The 23,314-nt window shown below is 42.6% G+C and overlaps 1 protein-coding gene across 1 annotated transcript in view, besides 2 other annotated features; it reads left to right on the forward strand.

Moving 5' to 3' along the window:
• MERTK (MER proto-oncogene, tyrosine kinase) overlaps nt 1–23,314 on the forward strand; it is a 130,955-nt gene that overhangs the window by 73,245 nt on the left and 34,396 nt on the right. Inside the window, exons 7-9 of the mRNA NM_006343.3 lie at nt 3,438–3,621; nt 10,991–11,142; nt 22,400–22,553. Coding sequence (NP_006334.2) covers nt 3,438–3,621; nt 10,991–11,142; nt 22,400–22,553 — 490 coding nt within the window. The remainder of the gene's footprint in view (nt 1–3,437; nt 3,622–10,990; nt 11,143–22,399; nt 22,554–23,314) is intronic.
• Nucleotides 3,341–3,635: an enhancer, noted in NCBI's record as "tiled region #3720; HepG2 Activating DNase matched - State 14:Gen5'". NCBI's record gives its function as "activates a minimal TATA promoter and a strong SV40 promoter by Sharpr-MPRA in HepG2 cells {active_cell/tissue: HepG2}" and the evidence as "EXISTENCE:reporter gene assay evidence [ECO:0000049][PMID:27701403]".
• Nucleotides 14,581–14,875: a silencer, noted in NCBI's record as "tiled region #10261; K562 Repressive non-DNase unmatched - State 7:EnhWF". NCBI's record gives its function as "represses a minimal TATA promoter and a strong SV40 promoter by Sharpr-MPRA in K562 cells {active_cell/tissue: K562}" and the evidence as "EXISTENCE:reporter gene assay evidence [ECO:0000049][PMID:27701403]".

The following is a 23,314-nucleotide window of genomic DNA, read 5'->3' on the forward strand; positions in this document are numbered from 1 at the left end:
TGATACTCTGTCTCATGGTTCCATCTGTTATTGAAAATGGGGAATTGAGATCTCAGCTCTTATTTTTGAATTGTCTGTTTCTCCCTTCCGTTCTATCAGTTTTTGCTTCATGTTCTTTTGGGGCTCTGTTGTTAGAAATATCCAGGGCCTCTTTCCCTAGAGGTAGACATTTATTTATTTGTTTGTTTGTTTGTTTGAGACAGAGTTTCGCGCTTATTGCCCAGGCTGGAATGCAATGGCACAGTCTCAACTCACTGCCACCTCTGCCTCCCGGGTTCAGGCAATTCTCCTGCCTCAGCCTCCTGAGTAGCTGGGACTACAGGCACCTGCCACTGCGCCTGGCTCATTTTTGTGTTTTTAGTAGAGATGTAGTTTCACCATGTCACCCAGGCTGAGGTAGACATTTATATACATGGACATAACTGAAGCATGGGCCAGCCCTTTTTAAAACTGTTACCAAAGTGCTGAGTTGTTTGAAGAGCCTGAGAGGACATGAAACATGAGGATGGTGAGCTTCAGGGAGACTCTCAGGAAGAGTACCACCCCACCTTGAGACGGCAGGTCTCAGTGACGTGAGGTGGGTAGGATGGTTGAAAAGTCTGAAAACACCAGGTCACCCCTGATGATGGAAGATGATCACACACAAGATTTACCTGCTCTCTTTCTGCCATGGTTTTGGGTGTTCATGGTACACATGAAGAAGCATCCTGAGACAGCCAAAGTCCAGTGTTTTCTTGCCCACCTTGGATTCTGTGGTGCTGGATATGATGATTCTGTTCTTGTCCCCCTTGGCTAGCTCAGCCTCCATTCATCCTTTCTCCTTTCCATCTCTGGTAGGCTTTCCAGATTTGGCAAATAAGAATACAGGACACCCAGTTAAACTGCATGAATAATGTCGTGACATACCTATACTGAAAAGTTACTTGTTGTTTCTTTGAAATTCAAGTTTAACTAGGTGTCCTTTATATTCTCTTGCAGTCCCACTGGGGTTAATCAGCACAAGCTCTAAAAGTTATCTTTTCTATTCTGTCATTAACAGTGTATTCCCAGTTTTTGAAGGGACCAAGTATGGCTTTGTAAAATTATAATTTTAAACTCTGACTCGGGACCAAATGAATGTTTTGGATGAGATTCAGATCCATGCACTAGCAGGACACACCCTCTCACTTCCTTTGGTCCTGATCTTAGCTCTTTTCTTCACCCATTTTTGGGCCACACACTCCATTTCTAATTTTAGCTCTCCCATGTACTTCTTGCCACTTCATGCCTGTTTTCCCTGAGGACCCACTGACTGAGAAGGACTGTTATAGAAACTCTGTTTTCCTCTAGGAACGTGCTCTCAGACAGTGTCCCTGAGCCTGGAAGTGCTCCCCACATGTCTCTGGAAGTGGGGCGGGGAGGAGAGCCAAAGGTTTCCTCCACCTTCGCTTTGGTGGTTGGTCACCAGGAAGTAGGTGCACACTCTAAAGTGAAACAAACAAAAAGTGATGTCTGCCAACAGCCACCACCAAGACAAGCGTCTGGGTTCTCGTTTCTCCTCTGGTGGCTCCTCAGGCCAAATGATACCTTCTTGTCACCCACGGGGTCTGAGTCAGAGGTGAAACTCAACCCCCACACCGTACTCCTGGTATCTGCCAGGGGATTTGGAATTCCAGAATGTTTATTTCTGGTTCATTGACCTAAGATTCAAGCACACATAGCCTGAAATTACAGTACTGTATATCCAGAGCCCAGAACTGCAAGCCCATTATTAACAGTAATACATTTTGTGGCCTGAGGATTTTTCCCAAATTGCTCTCAGTTGCATGTTTTACCCGATATCATTTTGTCTGTTCTGATTTTATAAGTGCCACATATTACAGAAATTTTGAAAAAGCATGTAATGGAGAACAAAATCCCATACTCTCCCTTATCCCCATACCCAGACAGGAGGTATGCGAGGAAAGAGATGGAAGTTTCGCCCAGGACTAGACTTGTGCTGGGAATCGCCCTCTCTTGCCTATGTATACAGAGATTTGGAGGGGGATGTGGAGAGACTGGTGGAGTTATGGAGGGAAAGATAAGGCAGTATGTTTAAAGGAGATTTGGAGAAAAGTTTTCTGAAGGAGGGGCAAATGACCCTTTGCTATATCTCCTCATCAAAAAAAAAAAAAAAAAAAAGCCAAGAATCTACATTTCCTGTGTGTGCCTCTGGAATTCAATTTCTGTTGGGGTCGAAGGGGTTAAGAATAAAGGACACACTAAAATTAGCCTCAGGATGAGTGCATTGGCTCACGCCTGTAATCCTAGCACTTTGGGAGGCCAAGGCAGGCAGAACCCTTAAGATCAGGAGTTCAAGACCAGCCTGGCCAACATGGTGAAACCCCACCTCTACTAAAAAAAAAAAAAAAAAAAAAAAAAAGTTAGCCAGGCGTGGTGGCAGGCACCTGTGATCCCAGCTACTCTGAAGGCTGAGGTGGGAGAATCACTTGAACCTGGGAGACGGAGGTCAAACCATTGCACTCCAGCCTGGGCAACAGAGTCAGACTCCATCTCAAAAAAAGTAGTAATAATAATAACAATAAAATAAAATAAAGTTAGCCTCAAGGCAAGAGCAGTGTTCCTTAGGTTACATAATAAAAAGAAAGATTAAGAAACGCTGGGTGTGGTGGCTCACGCCTGTAATCCCAGCGCTTTGGAAGTCCAAGGCAGGTGGATCACCTGAGGTCAGGAGTTCGAGGCCAGCATGGCCGACATAGTGAAACCCCATCTCTACTAAAAATACAAAATTAGCTGTGCGTGGTGGCACATGCCTGTAATCCCAGCTACTCAGGAGACTGAGGCAGGAGAATTGCTTGAATCCGGGAGGCGGAGGTTGCAGTGAGTTGAGATAACACCACTGCACTCCAGCCTGGGCAAAGAGAGCGAAGGTCCATCTCAAAAAAAAAAAAAAAAAAAAAAAGAAAGAAAAGAAAAGAAAAGAAAAAGAAAGCAAGAAACCCATCCTCTAAAAGCAGAATTTGGGAAATATTTCCTTTAAAAGGCAAAATAGTAAATATTTCAGGGTTTGCCAGCACATATTATATCTGTTTCCTCTGTTGCATACTCCATGAAGCAGCTGAAAGAGGTCAAGAATCGAAGAGGTTCTAAGAGAGGAGAGGCTTTATTTTATAGTATAATATGAATTCTAATCATCATAATTATTTGCTCCGTTACCTGCCACAGTGAGAATTGTTAATTGTTATTTTAGGCGTTTTCCTCAGGTGTTCAGTTATTGTCCGAGGGCATGAGTAACACACAGTGATGCTAGCGGTAAAATGTGTGTGTGCCCAGAAAGGAAGCAGGTCCTTCCCCTTAGCGTAGAGGAAGGGCCACGTGCACCGAATGCACACAGGCCCCGTGCCTGACATTCCCACCACCTTACTAATGCCCGGTCCTCATGTTTACTCTTCGTTTAGGTCAAGGAAGCTGATCCGCTGAGTAATGGCTCAGTCATGATTTTTAACACCTCTGCCTTACCACATCTGTACCAAATCAAGCAGCTGCAAGCCCTGGCTAATTACAGCATTGGTGTTTCCTGCATGAATGAAATAGGCTGGTCTGCAGTGAGCCCTTGGATTCTAGCCAGCACGACTGAAGGAGGTAATTCCTGGGGTTCAGAATGTATATTGCCCCCAATGACATGTGATTCAACAAACCCTTCCCAGTGGCCTGACTGAGAGTTGAAACTTTGCTTTGTTTGGACTTTGTCTCTGGAGGAGAAAATTATTGAGGCGACTGATGAAAATGGGAAAGATATTTCCTCCATACTGTAAAAGCATTCAGTGACAAAACTTAGCCGTGTTATGTATAGGTAATCTTTTCTTTTACATAGGAGATAATAGCAGCACACTTTAAAACATGCTCTCTCACAACACAACAATCAATACATGTTACCAACACAGTGGTCAATACAGAAGCCTTCGGCCACTCCAATATATGTGGGGATTTCTCTCCACCAGCAAGCAGTCGGCTCTGCAGCGGAGACCAGCTGAGTGTCCTCCATTCAAGTCTGACACTACATGGAGATAGCTTCAGATCCCATAGGTTGAGGACTCAATCCCCAGGCCTCCCCTCCCTCCCAACCCCGTCCCCAGCCTTTAGATGCCAATCACAAGTCTGGGCCTCTGGAACTTCTGACTAAGTGTTTCCCATGACCTCAGCTTTGTGTCCAATTAATTTGCTAGAACGGTTCACAGACCTCAGGGAAATACTTATATTTACCAGTTTATCATAAAGGATATTACAAAGGATACAAATGAAGAGATGCGGAGGATGAGATATAGAAGGAAAGGGTGTGGAGCTTCCATGCCCTCCCTGGGCGCACCACCCTCCAGGAACCTGCACATGTTCAGCTATCTGGAAGCTCTCTGAACCCTGTTCTCTTGTTTTTTTGTGGAAGCTTCATGATGTCAGCATTCCTTCCTCCAGGTTATGGGTCAGGACCCCCTTTGTAATAAGGGTCTTATGACCCACAGTCAGAAAGATGGGGAAGATTAGAGTCCTGCATTGAGGCAGGTGAAAGGAGGGCGGGAAGAGGTCAGAGAGATTGTTTTCTGAGGCCTGCCCCTGAGGCGTAAAGCACCCAACATCATAGCAAAAGATTGTAACCAGGGCTATGGGAGTTGTAAGCCAGAAATCATGACAAAAACCTGTGTGTGTGTGTGTGTGTGTGTGTGTGTGTGTGTGTGTGTGTGTGTGTAGGTTATTATATATATGTACATATACACACATATATACACATAAAATAACCCACAAGTCCATTAAAATGTAATCGAATCATTCAAATGGATAGGTTTAATTGCATCGTATTTTCTATTTGTTCTATCTGTAATTTGTTCTCCTTTTCTTCTTTTTCTTCATTTAAAAATATTATTTTTATATTTTTAATATTAATATTTTTATGATTCTATGTTTAATATTTTTATGATTCTTATTTTTTATTCTTTGTTTGGCTTATTAGCCATAGCTCTTTTTCTGTTCTTTTAGTGGTTGCTTTAGGATTCACAGTGTACATATTTAACTTATCACAGTGTACCTTCAAGTGATTTATACCATTTCACATATATTCCATTTTCTCCTTCAGATATTTTTGGCTACTGTTGTCAAATATTTTACTTTAATGTATCTTAAAATACCATTGCTACACTGTTGTTATTTTTGTTCAGTCAGTAATCTTTTACAAAGAGATTTATATAACCAGGAAAAACACATGTTTATGCATTATAGTTACCATTTCTAGTGGTCTTCATTTTTTGGTCTTTATATTTTATCTGACATCATTCTCCTTCTTCCTGAAGAACTTTTTTAAAAATCATTTCTTCTAGTGTGGATCTGCTGGTATGGTATTCAGCTCCTGTAGTCTGGGGAAAAATATTTATTTTACTTTTGAAGTGTTCTTATTTTTATTTTTAGCCTTCATTTTTGAAAGGTATTTTTATGAGGTATAGAACTGTAGGTTCACAATTTTAGCTTTTGTTTGTTTGTTTTTACTTTCAGTACATTAAAAGAAGTTGCTCCCCTATCTTCTCGCTTGCATTGTTTCCCACATGAAATCTGTGATCATCCTAACTTTGTTCCTCTGTATGTAATGTGTCTTTTGTTCCTATTTTTACCCTTATCACTGATTTTGAGCAATTGAATTGTGACAGGCTTTGGTGTAATTTTATTTATATGCCTTGTGTTTGGAGTTTATTGAACTTCTGGGGTCTCTGTATTTGTTGTTTACATCAAATTTGGAAAAAGTTTGGCCATTATTTCTTCACATTTTTTTTCTGTTTCCACCTATCCTCTTTTTTAAGGACTCCAGTTACATATATATTAGACCATTTGAAGTTGTCCCATAACTCACTGATGATCTGTTATTATTTTCCCCTTCTTTTATCTCTACATTTTATTTTGGATAGTTTCTGTTGCTATGTCTTCAATTTCACTCATCTTTTTTGGTGTAGTATCTCATCTGACATTAGTCCTATCCAGTTTATATTTCATCTCATACACCGTAATTTTTATCTCTTTTTTGCATTTTTATGTCTCTAAGTTTTGGACCATCCAGAATGCAGTTATAATTACTTTCCTTTTTTCTTTCTTTCTTATTTTCCTTTTTCTGTCACACAGGCTGGAGTGCAGCGCCAATCATAGCTCACTGCAGTCTTGAACTCCTGGCTTAAGCAATTCTCCCACCTTCACCTTCGCCTTCTGTGTAGCTGGTACTACAGGTGCATGCCACCACACCCAGCTAATTTTTGGTTTTTTTTTTTATGTTTTGTTTTTTGGTTGTTTTTTGTTTTTTTTTTTGAGATGGAGTTTCACTCTCGTTGCCCAGGCTGGAGTGCAATGGTGTAATCTCAGCTCACCGCAACATCTGCCTCCTGAGTTCAAGCAATTCTCCTGCCTCAGCCTCCTGAGTAGCTGGGATTACAGGCATGCACCATCACGCCCAGCTAATTTTGTATTTTTAGTAGAGATGGGGTTTCTCCATGTTAGGCTGGTCTTGAACTCCTGACTTAAGGTGATCTGCCTGCCTTGGCCTCCCAAAGTGCTGGGATAACAGGCATGAGCCACCACACCCAGCATGTTTTTTGTTTGTTTGTTTGTTTGTTTGTTTATAGAAACAGGGTCTCACTATTTTGCCCAGGCTGCTCTCAAACTCCTGACCTCAAATGATCTTCCCACCTCAGCCTCCCAAAATGTTTATAGGCATGAGCCTATAATAGGGGATTATAGGCATGAGCCACCGTGCCCAGCCTTTTCATAACTGTTTCAATGTCTTTGTTTGCTATCCTAACATCTATGTTATCTGTGGGTGGTTTCAACTGATTCATTTATGTTTCCACTCTAGGTAGTATTTTTCAGGTTCTTTGCACGCCTGATAATGTTTGATTGGATTACAGACATTGAGAATTTTACAGTGTTGGATGCTAGATATTCTTCTATTTCTGTAAATAGTGAGCTTTGTTTTGAGACACAGTTAAGCTAGTGGGAAACCGTTTAATCCTGTAGGGTCTTGCTTTTAAGATTTATTAGGCAGAACCTGATAAGGGCTCAGTCTCAGGTCGGTTATTACCCACTGCTGACACAAGACCATTCTGTGTGCCCTACTCAGTGCTTCTTGAATCATTAGATTTTCCAGTCTGATTGATGGGAACAGGCACTATTCTTCCCCCGTGTGAAGCCTGGATACCATTACCTTTAACTGTTTCGTGTGGTTCTTTTTCTATTTTCCTTTAGAGGCATCCTAAGGATTCTGGTGCCTTCTCCTGGGTATTTGCCTTTCTTAGTTTATGCCCTCGTTTTTATGGAGCCCATTCTCAATTAGCTTCCACAAAATGTATACATAAAAAGTAAAGATTGTGGGAACTTGCATATCCTTATGTAATACTGGCTTAGTAATTTTTCCAAATATAGAAATTTAGGTTGAAATTATTTTCCCTCAGAAGTTTAAAGGCGTTTTTGTATCATTTTTTAGCTTCATGGGTTGCTGTGGAAAATTCTGATACTTAAGTTTTCTATGTGAACTGTTTTTCAGTTTTAGTTTTTAAAATATCTTTTCTCTTTAATCCTGGTTCTGTGATAAGCTGTGATGTGCAATTTGTTTTGGTCATCAAGGGCATTCAGTGGCCCCTTTGATCTGGAAATGCAAGTCTTTTGGTCCTTAAACTTTTTTTTTTCCTTTGGAAATGTTCCACTCTCTGTTTTTTCCAGGAATTGTGTTAGACGATTGTTAATTAGACCTCTTCGATTGCTTCCTCAATTTTCTTTTTTCAAATTGGCCTATTTTCTTTGCCTTTTTATTCTACCTTCTTGGAGATTTACTTGATTTATCTTCCAATTCTTCTATTAAATGTTTTATTTTACTTATCATGTTGCTAATTTCAAGTTTTTTTCATTGAAAATTTTTTTCTGGTTCTCAATCATAAGAGTCTTTTCTGGATATCTCAATTATTTTTTGTTTGTTTGTCTTTAGTCTCCCTAGTTCCCTACACTAGCTTTGTCTCCTCTAAGCCCTCTGTTCTGTGTGGTTTTTTTTGGTCCCTGATATTCAGTGGGGAGGCTTCGCCAGACCTCTGCTAATTTCTGCTGTCTGCTCCTATGGAAGAGTGAAGAATCATTGATTTGATTGGAACTCTGTGGGTATGGGCAGAGCTTGTAGGCTTCACTATAGGTGATTGGACAGTGACCTAAGTGTTTTGATCTAGATACGATACCCCCCAACTGTCAAAATTGGTTTCTTTCCTCTGTAGCCGCTCACTTCCTCTAGAAAAGAAGTGTCCTGCTCCAGGAATTAAACGTGGCTGCTGATATTCTAGTAGCCAAGTGGGGGAGGAGGGGAAGGTAGAGTCCTTGTTATTTAGTATATAAACTTTCACTTATTTTCCCAGTTTTCAGCCTGGCTCCTTATCATGCCTCCATTCTACAGGTGCCCTAAGTTTAGTGGCTTTCTGCTTCAGAGAATAAATCACCCTGTGTCCTATGGATATTTGAGGGCATACTTGCCAGGTGTGTAGGCATGGAGAAGACAGACTTTGAGACGCAACTATTTCTTTTTTTTTTTTTTTTTTTTTTTTGAGACGGAGTCTCGCTCTTTCGCCCAGGCCGGACTGCAGTGGCACAATCTCGGCTCACTGCAAGCTCTGCCTCCCGGGTTCATGCCATTCTCCTGCCTCAGCCTCCTGAGTAGCTGGGACTACAGGCGCCCGCCACCACGCCCGGCTAATTTTTTGTATTTTTAGTAGAGACGGGGTTTCACCGTGTTGGCCAGGATGGTCTCGATCTCCTGACCTCGTGACCCACCCGCCTCGGCCTCCCAAAATGCTGGGATTACAGGCGTGACCCACTGCGCCCGGCAGAGACACAACTATTTGTTAATCAGACTTCCAATCATTCTTTCCAGTTTTAGTCCCCATTTTACTACCTGGGCCCACAGCTTCTGAGCTGCTCTGTGATTCTTTGGGAGAATATTGGCTTGCTGAGTTAATTATACCTTCTTCATCTCTTTTTCAGCTTTCAAATATGTGTTGAAATCTCTCTTCTACTGTTGACTCCTCTTTGCCTTGTGAGTTTATATCTTTTTAAATTCTTTATTGCCATCATAGAGGGGTTTTGGGAGGAGGCAGACATACAGACATGTTGTGTTGGCCATATTTATCCACAAATTCTACAACAGGTTTGAAAGTGTGCGACTGATTTCATAGGCAGCTTTAGTTGTGTGATGTTTTCTAAGCTGAAATTCATTTTAACTTCATGATTACTGTTTCTGGAATCAGCAGAGAAAAAGAGGGTTATAGTATCCTTTCACACATATCTGAAATATAGAATTTAACCTCCCCTCATTCAACTACAGGCAACAGTTTGGTGTATATTATTCTAATTGTTATTATTCTTTCTAGATATAGAAGGTTTATTGTTTTAATTTCTAAAATGGATCTATATACTTTTTACAATCTGATTTTTCCCCCATTGGATTTTTTTATATCAATACACATGACCTAATTCTTTCCAGTGACGAGGTAGTAAGTATTCCATTGGAAAATGTATCAAAATTTGTATTATTATTATTATTTGAGACAGAGTCTCACTCTGTTGCCCAGGCTGAAGTGCAGTGGCATGATCTTGACTCACTGCAACCTCCATCTCCCAGATTATATCATAATTATTGACCAAGCATTGCATTTATTTCTATTTGTCACTATTATGCTGCAATGAATATAACATCACCTACAGATTAAATTCCTGGAAATAAAATATTTGGTCAGAGAGCATATTATTTTCAATTTTAATAGATATAGTTAAGTTATTCTCTCCCAAAAAAGACTGTAGTAATGATCTTGACTTGTTTCCCAAATTATTTTATACACGTACACTCGTGTACACACACACACACACACACACACACACTTTTTAAATGTGTTGACAGATTAGCTCTGTTCAGACTGTCAGTAACTTGCCTCTGGACTTTAAAATGGTGGCTGCATTCTGAGCTCAGCAGTGTTTCCTACCTTGTGCATCTCAAATGCCACCAAGCTGATCTCTAGCTGGCCATGTTAACTTTCTGCCCCACAGGTTTATGCTGGAGAACATTGTTCAAGTTGTGTCTGCTTCACTTCCCCAGGAGTCCAGAGCACCACCCACCCTACCTTCCCTGCCTTCTTCTTCTTTGCTATTTTACTTTAGGTGCTCATGAAATTTCCTTTTTTTTTTTTTCTTTTGAGATAGGGTCTTGCCCTGTCACCCAGGCTAGAGTGCAGTGGTGCAATTACGGCTCACTGTGGCCTTGACTTTCCAGGGTCAAGTGATCTTTCCTCAGCCACTCAAGTAGCTGGGACTACACACCTGTGCCATCACACCCAGCTAATTTTTTATTTTTAGTGGTGATTGGAGTCTCACTATGTTGTCCAGGCTGGTCTCAAACTCCTGACCTCAAGCAATCCTCTCCCTCTGGCCTCCCAAAGTGCTGGGATTATAGGCATGAGCCACCATACCTGGCCAACATTTTCTTCTTTTCTTTCTCTTTCTCTTTCTTTCCTTCTTTTCTTCCTTGCTTGCTTTTTCTGCCCAGGCTGAAGTGCAGTGGTATGATCATGTCTCACTGTAGCCTCAATCTCCTGGGCTCAAGGAATCCTCCTGCCTGTCTCCTGAGGGACTGGAACTACAGATGTGCACCAAGTAGTCAGCTAATTTTTTAGTTTTTTGTTTTGTTTTGTAGAAAGGGTCTCACTATGTTCTGGCTGATATTTTCAACTTAAGAAATGAATTTCTAGGCTTCAGTAACCTAAAAGGGCTCACTTATTTAAAACTCACTGATATCTCAGTGAAAATCTTAGTTGAAAAGGTGAAAATGTGCTATAAGTCTTGGTCTCATTTGAGTGCTTTTCATAGAGCATTTGAAAACCAAACACTTGAAAACCCAGATGAGAATACATCTGTGTGTGCTTTGTGGTTCTTCATTCTTCTCTCCTTTTTTCTTTTGTAGCCCCATCAGTAGCACCTTTAAATGTCACTGTGTTTCTGAATGAATCTAGTGATAATGTGGACATCAGATGGATGAAGCCTCCGACTAAGCAGCAGGATGGAGAACTGGTGGGCTACCGGATATCCCACGTGTGGCAGAGTGCAGGGATTTCCGTAAGTCTAAACCCTAGAAGAGCACGATTAGTCATCTCCTTTCAACTTGCTGGTTTACTTCAGTTTTAGAAGCTTTCATTTGGTTTTGAAAAGACCTGGTGTGATTGAGTTAGGCAAGGCACCTTTCAGGGGAACATAAAGAATATAGTAAATATTAGAGGTGACTGAACAGTTACAAAATTCTAAGGTATCTTTTGGGACTTTCCTCACTTACTCATTCATTCATTCATTCTTTTACTTATTCATGAGATAGACATAGAATTCATCCTCTGTTATCACCTGACTTTTGCCCTCATGGAATTTAGGCTCTTATAGGATGACAGTGTGGAATACCCAAGTTGTAGCATTAGGTCAGGGAGCTACAGGGCTTAGCAGTCCAGCAATTCATGGCCTTTTGGAAATTTCATGGGACTTTGCAAAAGAAGAAGATAAGGGAATAACCTCATCCTCATAGAGAATGGCAAGAAGTAAGCAGACACCAAAGGAGGAGACCGAGCAAGCTCTCTGGCCAGCCTGGCACAGCTGCGGGCAAGCCGAAATTAGACATCAGAATTACTGGATCAGGACATGCAGTCTGACACTACATAACACAACCAGGTGCATCAGCCAGGTGGCACAGGTTCCCTGCTCCACCAAGTCCCATTGGGCAATGTGATGTACCCACTTGGTGGATTGTGCACCTGAGGGTACTAGGGTCAAGGGCTCAGCACCCTGTGTAGTGAACAGCAAACAAGCTGATCCTCTGTGCAGTTGCACGGTCGTCATGCTGTGGCCACCTTGACCTACTTCACTGCCCACGTGACTAGCCCCAGCATGGCTCGGGGTTGGGGATGGTTAGGCCTTGCAGTTTGTCACACTCAGCAAGGATGAACAAAGATGCTTGGAGCCTGTGGCAGACTGCCTCTCCCAGAAAAGGTGGTACTTGAATTGGGCTTGTGTGTTAGTCAAGATTCTTTAGAGAAACAGCTAATTGAACATGTATGTATAGAAGGAGATTTATGATAAGAAATTGACTCATGCAATTACAGAGGCTGAGAAGTCTCACGATCTGCCATCTGGAAGCTGGAGACCCAGGAGCCAGTGGTGTAATTTAGTCAGAGTCTGAAGGCCTGAGAAACAGGGGCAGTGGTGTAGATCTCAGTCCAAGGATAGGAGAGTACTGATGTCTCAGCTCAAGCATTCAGGCAGAAGAAAAGGGGAGAATTCCTCCTTTCTTTACCTTTTGTTCTTGTCAGGCCCTCCATGGATTGAATGAGGCCCAGCCACACTGAAGAGGGCAGTCTGCATTATGAGTCCCCTGTTTCAAATAATAATCTCACTGGAAACACCTTCACAGACACACCCAGAAATCATGTTGAGCCACATAGCTGGGCACCTCTGTCACCCAGTCAAGTTGACACATAATATTAACCATCGCAGCTTAGAGTAATTTTGACAGATGAAATTTGAGGAGTCTCAGATGGGAAAAGATAACATGAGAGAAGGCACAACGTGGCAGCTTTAAATTCTGACTCACTTGAAGGTCTGGAACATAACGCTTTTGTGAGAGCGAGGTGTGAGATGAAGCTGGATTGAGGAGTTCTGACCCTAAAATGCAGGGCCCTGAAAGTGAAGCCAAGGCAGGTAGAAATTTGTTGATAGCAGGGGAGCCAATGATAAGCATGAGCTCAGGAGCACAACTTGAGACTTACAGATCATGATGATGACCTAGATGATTCTTCTTTCATGAATAATTACATTGAGTTTGCTGATATAAGTAACCTTCTAACCTGCCTTCTTTCCACCAGAGCATATTTGCTGAGCACATTCCACTCTGGTCTTCCAAGACTGAGCAGGCAACTCAGCAGCAGGCTCCTGCCAGCTACAGAGGTTTTCTTGCTTCCTGAAAATGTATATCAGAATCATCCACAATGTTTATTTGGAATACCACTGTGTGCTTGGAACTGGGTAGGGGTATCGTAGGGGAGCATCAATATGTCAGGTAATTCCTGCCTTATAATCAATCTAAAGCTGGCAAGATCCTTTAGATTTTTGCTAAAGCTGGCAAGTTCAGTGAAGACTCTCTAGTGTAAGTACTGGTTTCATTTCACAGTGGCAAACAAAAGGCAAAGGGAATCTATGTGTGAAATAGTGGCTTCCTCCCCAAGTACCAGCCAGTGCCCTTCCAATGACTTTGCTAGGCATGACTCCAGTCAAACCCAGAGGGACATTTGATTTTGATTTCTATGAAGTCTAAAGACCACTGCTATGATGTGAACCCTGGACCCAATACAGCAGCAGGAAAGGCAGCTGGGTGATGATGCCTGGGTGTGATTAGGTGGGCAGCTTCTAGACAGGTTCCCTTCCCACCTGGGAAAGGAAGAGAGTGGGGTATTGCTGCCTCCTTTTGTGACACAGAACATCCGTGGAAGGGCAGATGCACTGGTTTCATTATCAAGTCTGTCTCTTCTTTACTGTGATCATGGAAAGCATGCTTCTTCTGTGTTGCCATATTCCTGATCAATCTAACCCTAGTGACAGATTGTATTAGTCTGTTTTCACACTGCTAATAAAGACATACCTGAGACTAGGTAATTATAAAGAAAAATAGGTTTAATGGACTCACAGTTCCACATGGCTGGGGAGCCCTCACAATCATGGCAGGAGGCAGAGAAGGAGCAAAGGCACGTCTTACATGGTGACAGGCAAGAGAGTGTGCAGGGGAACTCCCCTTTATAAAACCATAGGATCTCACGAGACTCACTGTCAAGAGAACAGCACGGGAAAACCCCGCCCCCATGACTCAATTACCTCCCACCAGGACCCTCCCATGGCACTACAAGTCAAAATGAGGTTTGGGTGGGGACACAGCCAAACCATATAATAGATCCAAATTTTAGCTTCTTCATGGTATCTATATGGAGCATCAGATATAGATGCTGCATATAGAGATGAACAGGGTGAATGGGTGAGCAGATGCATCCACTGATGATGCTCAAGCTTTGTTGTAATCATTTTTAGCCACATATCATCCAGCATTTATCAAAACTGCCATTTTCTGAAAGGACACTTAAAATTTATTTTAATTTCCCTGCCTCAGTTTACCTATCAGGAAGCAGACTGTTGGAAGCAGTAGGTGATGGAAGTAGAGAAAAAGAAGGCTTAGAAGTCCGTGTTGTTCTGCCTCATAGTAAATGATCATGGTATTAATTCATTTTAAGTAGCAATCCTGCTTAAAAGTCACAGCTGCGAGAGAAGCAGCCTTTCCTTTTGTCTTTTGCCCCAAGGCATTTGTGCGAGGTGCCTCTGGATTAACTGCATTTCTCCATTGGCTGAGTTGCAGGAATCAAATGCCTCTTTGAGAGAAGGGCTTTTGTTCACAATGCTGAATGCTTGGTATAGCTATACTAAGCATAAAGGTTCAGTAGGAATTTTATCTTTCTCTATTTGGCAGAAAATAGTGATTACCAGCAGACACTTAGGCTGTCTAAAAACAAGCCAGTTTGTTTAAAGAGCTGCAGGTCATCCTTTCTCCTTCTACTTCTGGCTTGGGTGAAAGCTGCTTTTCTGAAGGGGGCCTCTTGAGCCGAGGCGTTCTGAAGGGCAGCAATGATGAAAACCTTATGAATGACTGTGGCTGGAGAGCCTTGTGCACTAAATGCCATTAGCACTCAGCTAGGCTGTGCATTCTCATTGCCCTTTGTTCAGAACGGTCCCCTCTGCAGGGAGAACAGAACTGCCACAGTTAAGGCTGTGACCTTTCCAGTCACTTACCTCCTTAGGGATGCCAGATCATCCCAGTGAGATCATTTATTATGCTTTACACTATATTTTATGCATCATGACAGTCTTGTGACCACAAAGACACAGTGGCTCACTTTACTTTGGAAAACATTCTCTGATGCAGCTAAGTTTCAAGCTTATGATCCAAAACTAGGGACAAATAAGAACATGGAAGAAAGGTGGACCCTGGGAGTCCCCTGAAACCCACACCCAAAAGGAAGTTTAAGATGATCTTGGCATCTGTCACTTTGATTTCCTTCAATTTCCTTCATCTCAGAAGGGCAAAGCTTAGACAAAACCTTGTCTCAAAATTATCCGTTCATTTTCATTTTTAGATAACTGATACTAAAGCTACTTCCTTATGCAGGACAGAGCAGTTGGATATTTTTGAAAGATATTTCTCATTATAACTGTAATTAAGGGTGGGGTTTTTCATGTGCATGCAGTTTCAGAACTTTCTTGGCAGTCGTTTTTCCTTGGCTTATCGCAGCTACACAGAAGACAGGTTTGTAGCTTTGCATTCCCGCAACAGTCATGTCACTTTCAGACTAAGAATCCTTTGATCTTTACTGAATGGATATTTATTATATCTCAAACGATGATACCTACCTTTTTTGTTCTATTTTTCTTGCGATTCCTTGCCTTCCAAATCAGAGTTTAAAATCCAAAGATAAGGAACAAATACAATGTGTTCTCTTTGAAGTTGGAGGCAGGTCTTGCTCGTCTTTGTACTGTCTGAACACAGGGCCTTGACCTTGCTTTGTAGGCATTTGTGGCACTATGGATTTGATGTGTGGGCCCAGCTACACCATCTAAACCAGCTGGAGAATTTCTCTCCATGAATGGGACAGTCTTTTATTAAGTGTGGACTAGTATTTCCCAACCCACCCTCATTCCCGTAAAGTGTCAGTGGATCTTCTGTGAAAAAAGAGTTCAGTGAGCAAATAGAATTACAAAATATTGCATATTATACCACCTTGAAGGCCCACCATGTATACTGGCAAGTTCAAGCCTCTTTGAAGTTCAACAGAAAATAACTCTGTTTAACTTTGACCCAGAATCGTCTAAATGTTAGGCAGAGACACATTTTTATACGTGCGGTTTTTATGGAGTTCGTTGCTTTGGGTTTATTGCTCTAATGCTAGTTTACTCTTCGTTTTCAAAGGTATAGATCTTGGAAGTCTCATAGCAGAGATTATTATAGCCTTGAGACAGCATGATATATAGAACTAACTTTTTTTTTTTTTTTTTTGAGACAGAGTCTCACTCTGTCATTCAGGCTGGAATGCAGTGGCACGATCTCGGCTCACTGCAACATCTGCCTCCCAGAGAACCAAGTTCTTTGGAGACTCAGGGAAGCTGCAGTGTACTTGGCCCAAGACCTCGGCCTCCTAACAAGCTCCCCTAATGAGCAGAGCTATGTGCCTGGATGTTGGCATGTGCCCACCGCCTCTTCCTGTCTCCTTTTCTCCCTCTTTCTCACTGTCAAAGGAGAGCAGAGCATTTGAACTGGTGTTGTCTTAAAGTATGAGGAATAGGCAAGGTTCTCATGGCCAGCCAGGGATCTGAACCTCTTCTGAAACCCAGGGATTGATCAAATAGGGTACATTTTGCCTGGAGGAGAAACTTAACATGGAGGTAAACTCCATGAGTAGGTCAAATAAGCTTCTTGGTTTGGGGAACTAGACAGCCTTGATGATTTTCTCTAATGCACTAAGACTTGAAAGATACCACAAGCTCAATTCTGTAAGAAGGTTTTGTATTTATTTACAGGGAAAGAAGACCCAACTGTAGCACCACCTTGAACATGATATAAGAATAATCATAGCCACCACTGATTACTTGCAGCATGCCAGATCGTGTACTATGTGTTTTACATAAAGGAACTCATTTAACCCTTAACTGTGAGGCCAGGCGTGGTGGCTCACGCCTATAATCTCAGCACTTTGGGAGGCCAAGGCAGGTGGATCACCTGAGGTTAGGAGTTCGACGAGACCAGCCTAGCCAACATGGTGAAACCCTGTCTTTACTAAAAATACAAAAATTAGCCCAGCCTGGTGGCGGGCACCTGTAGTCCCAGCTACTTGGGCAGCTGAGGCAGGAGAATCGCTTGAATCTAGGAGGCGGAGGTTGCAGTAAGCCAAGATGGCGCCACTGCACTCCAGCCTAGGGGACAGAGCGAGACTCCATTTCAAAAACCACTGTGAGAAAGATAATATGCTCAATTTTCAGTTGAGGAAACTAAAGCTCAGAGATGCTGGGTAACTGCCGCAGAGTCATAAAGGTTGGGCTAAAAACCTCACTCCGACTGACTCCAAAACCAGGGCTTTTCAGAACCCCCCTACTCGTTCCCAGGCGCCCCTGGCTTTCTTCATAATACAGTCTCATTCAAATTCCACAGTGTGGCCTCTCCGTAGAAAGAAGGAAGAACAGGACGTGTTTTGCAGAGTTAGATGTGAGAGTTTTGTGTTGATGCCTGTGAATTTGAAACCCCTTTGAACGAGTCACCTTTGTTGTTGTCATGAGACAGAAACTTTTATCTCATTGAGGTTATAGAACAGGCCAGAGTCTTAAATACAGTTACGAGTTATAGGGTTGTGAATTCTTTTTTTTTTTTTTCAGACAGAGTCTCGCTCTGTCACCCAGGCTGGAGTGCAGTGGTGCGGTCTCCACTCACTGCAAGTTCCGCCTTCCAGGTTCACGCCATTCTCCTGCCTCAGCCTCCCGAGTACTGGGACTACAGGCGCCCGCCACCACGCCCGGCTAATTTTCTGTATTTTTAGTAGAGACAGGGTTTCACCGTGTTAGCCAGGATGGTCTTGATCTCCTGACCTCGTGATCCACCCGCCTCGGCCTCCCAAAGTGCTGGGATTACAGGCGTAAGCCACCACTCCTGGACGGGTTGTGAATTCTTATAAAGTAGTTGGGGATATTTAAGTCCTTTGATCATTGAAAACAAGTACCACCGCAGTTGCCCTGCCTAACTCTAATGCCACACATAGGATAAAAAACAAATTGACTTTCCAAAGATGTGTTATTACTTTTCTGACTGTCAAGATACACTGTGTCTTATCTTACATGTAAGTAAAGTTGCAATCAAGTGCCATATTATAAATCTGATTTTATTACCAGGAAATGCTTTCAGATGTTTAAGTCCTTGAGGCTATGAACCTGGTGTTGGTGAAAAATGAAAACTCACTCAATGAAAAATATGCAGTTGGCCCGTGGCATACACCCCATGACCAGACCACCTCATGTCAGAGAAATGTCCCCAACTTATGTGATCTGTACCCTGACAGCACCAGAGATAATACACATGGGGTAGCGCCTGTGTGCATCTGATTTTAGTGGATTTCTCTGACAACTTGAAAAATCAGACTTAAATACTTGGGGATATGAATTGGGGCACACCGTTCTTTACATACTTGGCACCAAAACAGTATGGATAAATTACATCCATTTTAAAAAAACATGAATCATTTTAAAACTATATTTAAGTTTACCATTTAAGGATATCCTTAGAGAAAATTGTTAAACCTCTTTTAAAATATATGTCATATATCTTTCTAATCACTATGGCAACATTTATTATAATTCCACCCCTAAAATGTGATAACCCTTGACCATCTCCAAAATGTGTGACTGATAAACACTGGCCAGCATCTTTGTCATATTTTGATATTCAGAATGATGGCAACGGCTATGATGCTGGCCATCATCGAACGGTGGGTGCATTTGCTCTGGGCCAGGCACTGTTACACATTTGTTAACTCACTTAGGAGAATAAGAAGTGGAAATTCAAAAAGTAACCTTTCTGGGGTTTCCTACTGAGTCATAGGCCCTAAGTGAGTAGACACAGGTTAAGTATCCCTTATCCAAAGTGTCTGGGGACCAGAAGTGTTTCAGATTGTGGATTCTTTCTGATTTTGGAATATTTGCATTATATTTACCAGTTGGGCATCCTAAATCTCAACTTATTTACTTAGCATTTCCTTTGTGTCATGTCAGTGCTCAAAAAGTTTTGGATTTTGGAACATTTCAGATTTCAGATTTTGGGATATGGGATGCTCAAACTGTATTATAGCCTACTTGAATGTTTATTTCCAAAAGAATAATTTGTTTTTGTTAGGGTTTCTATTCTTCTATTCATTTAATTCTTTCCCAATCGTGTAATTCCTCTTATTTTGAGATGATTCTCTCATAAGTGAGGTATCATATTTGAGCCTGCAGCCAGAAGCAGGCCAGTGTTCCGCATCAGGCCGTGAGGCTTGTCCTTTGGAGGAGCTGTCTACCGTGAAGCAGATGTGTTAGTTATGTCTCAGCAATGGCCTGAGTCACCAAACGGCTCCATGACCGTGGGGGTTTGGTCCATGGAGTTACTCTACCTGATGATTTTCTGCCTCGCTCCCAAATTAAACACAGAATGACCAACTAACTCATAATCAAAACTAGTTTGCAGTAAATACAATGCTCTATTTATGTTTTTTTGTTGCTTGTTTTGAAACGGAGTCTCAGGCTGGAGTGTGGTGGCGTGATCTTGGCTCACTGCATCCTCCGTGTCCTGGGTTAACGCTTTTCTCCTGTCTCAGCCACCCGAGTAGCTGGGATTACAGGTGCATGCCACTACACCCTGCTAATTTTTGTACTTTTAGTAGAGATGGAGTTTTGCCATGTTGGCCTGGCTGGCCTCGAACTCCTGACCTCAGGTTATCTGCCCACCTCAGCCTCCCAAAGTGCTGGGATTACAGGTGTGAGCCACCTCGCCCAGCCCAATGCTGTATTTCTGAAAAAGGTATCACCAGAATATTAAAAAAAAAGGTTAATTATTAATTTGTTCACTTAATTAACAAAAAAAAGTCTATGGCAAATCTCATAGACTCGGAGTCCAGTGGGGTAGAAAAACCAACATTCTTAACGGTCATATTTTCCCTTTCATCCCTTGTCTGGGGGTGTGATATTACGATATACTGTGTGTCTGGTTGTGTGTGTACACACACAATATATATATAATGTGTGTGGAGGGGAGCTTTCCATCCCGGGGTCCTGGCTTATTACTCCCATAGCCCTTGTTGTTTCCTAAGGGACTAAAACAACAAGCATATCTTTTGTTGAAGTATTGGCCTTTTGTCCTTGGTTTCTGAAGTAGCTTCAGAGCTTTAACGGTGAAAGACGGTCTTTCGCTATAATGTTTGGGCACTTTAGGCCTCAGAAAACAGAATCTCTCTTGCTGATCTTCTCCTGCCCTCCTTTCATGTACTCCTCTGTCTCCCCAAGGCAGGGCTCTAATTTTCCCCTGCCCTCATCCATAAAGAAATTCTTTGACCTACCTGATCTGATTAGAAGTCATAAGACTCACATTTCGGAAGGAGTCCTGTTTCCATTCCCTGGAGGAAGGAGCCACGCACAGAGAGGCCAAGAAGAATCTGAACAGATAGGTCTTGTTGGGTTTCCTCGCTCAGTCTAATAGTACTAGATCATGCCTTTTTTGTCCAATCACAGTTCTACATGGTTGTCAATCACGCCTATCCAATGGAGCCTCCATGAAAGGCCCATGAGGATGGGGTTCAGAGAGCTTCCAGGTAGTGGAATACGTGGAGGTTTCCAGAGGGTGGTGCACCCAGGGCGGGCATGAAAGCTCTGCACCCCTTCCCATGTGCCTTGCCCTGTATAGCTCTTCATCTGTATCTTCTGCAATATCCTTAATAATAAACCAGTGACCAGGCATGGTGGGTCACGCCTGTAATCCCAGCACTTTGGGAGGCTGAGGCAGGTGGATCGCCAGGTCAAGAGATCGAGACCATCATGGCCAACATGGTGAAACCCCGTCTCTACTGAAAATACAAAAATTAGCTTGGTGTGGTGGTGTGCACCTGTAGTCCCAGCTACTCAGGAGGCTGAGGAAGGAGAATTGCTTGAACCTGGGAGGTGGAGGTTGCAGTGAGCTGAGATAGCGCTACTGCACTCCAGCCTGGGTGACAGAGCAAGACTCCGTCTCAAAAAAAAAAAAAAAAGAAAGAAAAAAGAAAAAAATAATAAACCAGTGAATGTCTTTTCCTAAGTTCTGTGAGCCACTCTAGCAAATTAAACAAACTCAAGGAGGGGGTCATGGGGTCCCTGATTTATATAGCCAGCCAGTCAGAAGTACAGGTCAAACAACCTGGGGCTTGTGATTTGTGCCTGAAACTTGGGGGACTCTTGGGGGCTGAGCCCACACCCTGTGGGATCTGACACTATCTCCAGATGATAGTGTTGGAATTGAACTGGGTTGGAGAATGCCCAGCTGGTGTCTGCTGTGGAATTGACTGATTGGTTTTTGGTAGGGAAAAATTCTCATACACTTCTTGGTGACCAGAGGTCACAGAAGCCTTCTGTGTTGACTATTGTGGTGTGGGAGCAGAGAAAACTGCTTGTTTTTTTCTGCAGGGGGCATTTCTGGGCCATGATGTCCACTGCCTGTTTAAATTTAGAAACAGTCTCTGGATGGCCAACCCAGGTGCCCCCTTGGTCATGAATGATGGACTGCTCTCTCCTTAAGGGTTGAGATGGTTCTATCCTTCACCATTGCTAGGAAAGTGACTGGCTTGAGAGTGAGTGACCAGGAAATAAAGTTACCAATAGCACTGCCTTTGCTGTTCATTGATGACCTGTGACATCTGTGACCTGTGACATCTGTGACCTGCATGACCTGAGATCTCTTTCTGTCTCTGCAATCAAATTTCCAAAATTCAGAGATAAAGACATGTTCCTAGAACTTCATTTCAGCTTTCACAACCCCTATAATTTCCATTTGAAAAGCCAGCCCAAACACAAAATTAGTTTCCTACGCCAGAGAACATTATGATTACAGAGGTTTGGAAAAGGGGAGGAAGGTGTTGTATAAACCCTTAGTTCTGGTTATTTTTTCCCCTTTATTTGAATGACAGTGACTTTAAAATAACATACAAATAAAAGTAAAACCAGAGTTTTGAAAATTGAGCAAGTTGTACATTTGTCACACTGAAAGAAAAAAAAAAGTGTCAGTGCCCTCTTCCAGGTAGATTTTAGTCAAAATTCTAATAATTTCAAGGAACAGGAGCCCACTCGTGCTGGTTCAAGGGCAGGTGGCAGGTGGACAATGTCAAGGGATAGTGTGACTGGCGTATTGTGCTGTGGGTGGTTCTGAGGATCGAGGGCTTGAGGAGTCAGGCTTGCTCTGCCGTCCGGGTGCATCTGCTACGTGCTCCCTCTCTTCCAGAAGCTTCTTTAGGACCACTCTAAGTGCCATGCCCTCATGGCCCTAGCTTGCCAATGCCCCCCAAAACTTGATGTTACATCCTGTCCCTACCTGACTTTTGGTTCCATTGGCCATGGCCTGAGTGACAAAGGAATGCTGTGGAAGTGTGGCTTCTGGCCTCGGACGTGGGCGGGATGGCTTCCCTCAGAAGGAACTGTAGATGCACCTGCAGTTTGCCCAGACCTCAGTGTTTTCATTTCCTCTCTTCCTCTCTGTCTCCAGAAAGAGCTCTTGGAGGAAGTTGGCCAGAATGGCAGCCGAGCTCGGATCTCTGTTCAAGTCCACAATGCTACGTGCACAGTGAGGATTGCAGCCGTCACCAGAGGGGGAGTTGGGCCCTTCAGTGATCCAGTGAAAATATTTATCCCTGCACACGGTGAGAGCTATACCCAGTAAGGGCTGATAGGATGTGATGGTCCAGGCAGTGCACAGATTGCCAGAAAGTAACCTGGGGGATGGATGGCTGATTAAAGAATGAAAAATAAGGCTGGGCTTATCTCAACACTTCAGGAGGCAAAAGCAGGAGGAGTTTGAGAACAACCTGGGCAATGGGCAACATAGTGAGACCCTGTCTCTACAAAAAATATATGTATTTTTAAAATTTGCTGGGCATGGTGGATCATGCCTGTTGTCCCAGCTACTTGGGAGGCTGAGGTGGGAGAAGTGCTTGAACCCAGGAGGCAGAGATTGCAGTGAGTTATGATCACACCACTGTACTCTAGCTAGGTAACAGAGTGAGACCCTGTCTCAAAAAAAGAAAAAAAAAAAAAAGAAGGGAAAAATAAGAATCAAAAATAATTTTTCCAATGATAAAGATATGATATGATAACATGCTTTACAGAACTGCTGATACCCATAGGTCCCTCCTATAGTTACTATTAATGGTAATAACTTACTTGGAAGATTAGTCTTTTCAGATGCCAACTTTGGCTTTACTTATTGAACTTAGTTGCAATGATGTATACTGTACATGACTGAATTTTAGACAGGCAATATAGCTAACCCTTAGCTGTCTACAATTGGGACAGTTTATTTGCTGTTGCTTGTTTTGCTGTGTTTGAAATAGTACTGCTTTGCCATGTTTTTACCCATTCAAGCCTTGGGTAACATGCTTTGTGCTTTGGTCTGCACGGAACA

The sequence above is a fragment of the Homo sapiens genome, chromosome 2 (genome assembly GCF_000001405.40).
Source record: "Homo sapiens chromosome 2, GRCh38.p14 Primary Assembly".
Lineage (NCBI taxonomy): Eukaryota > Metazoa > Chordata > Mammalia > Primates > Hominidae > Homo > Homo sapiens.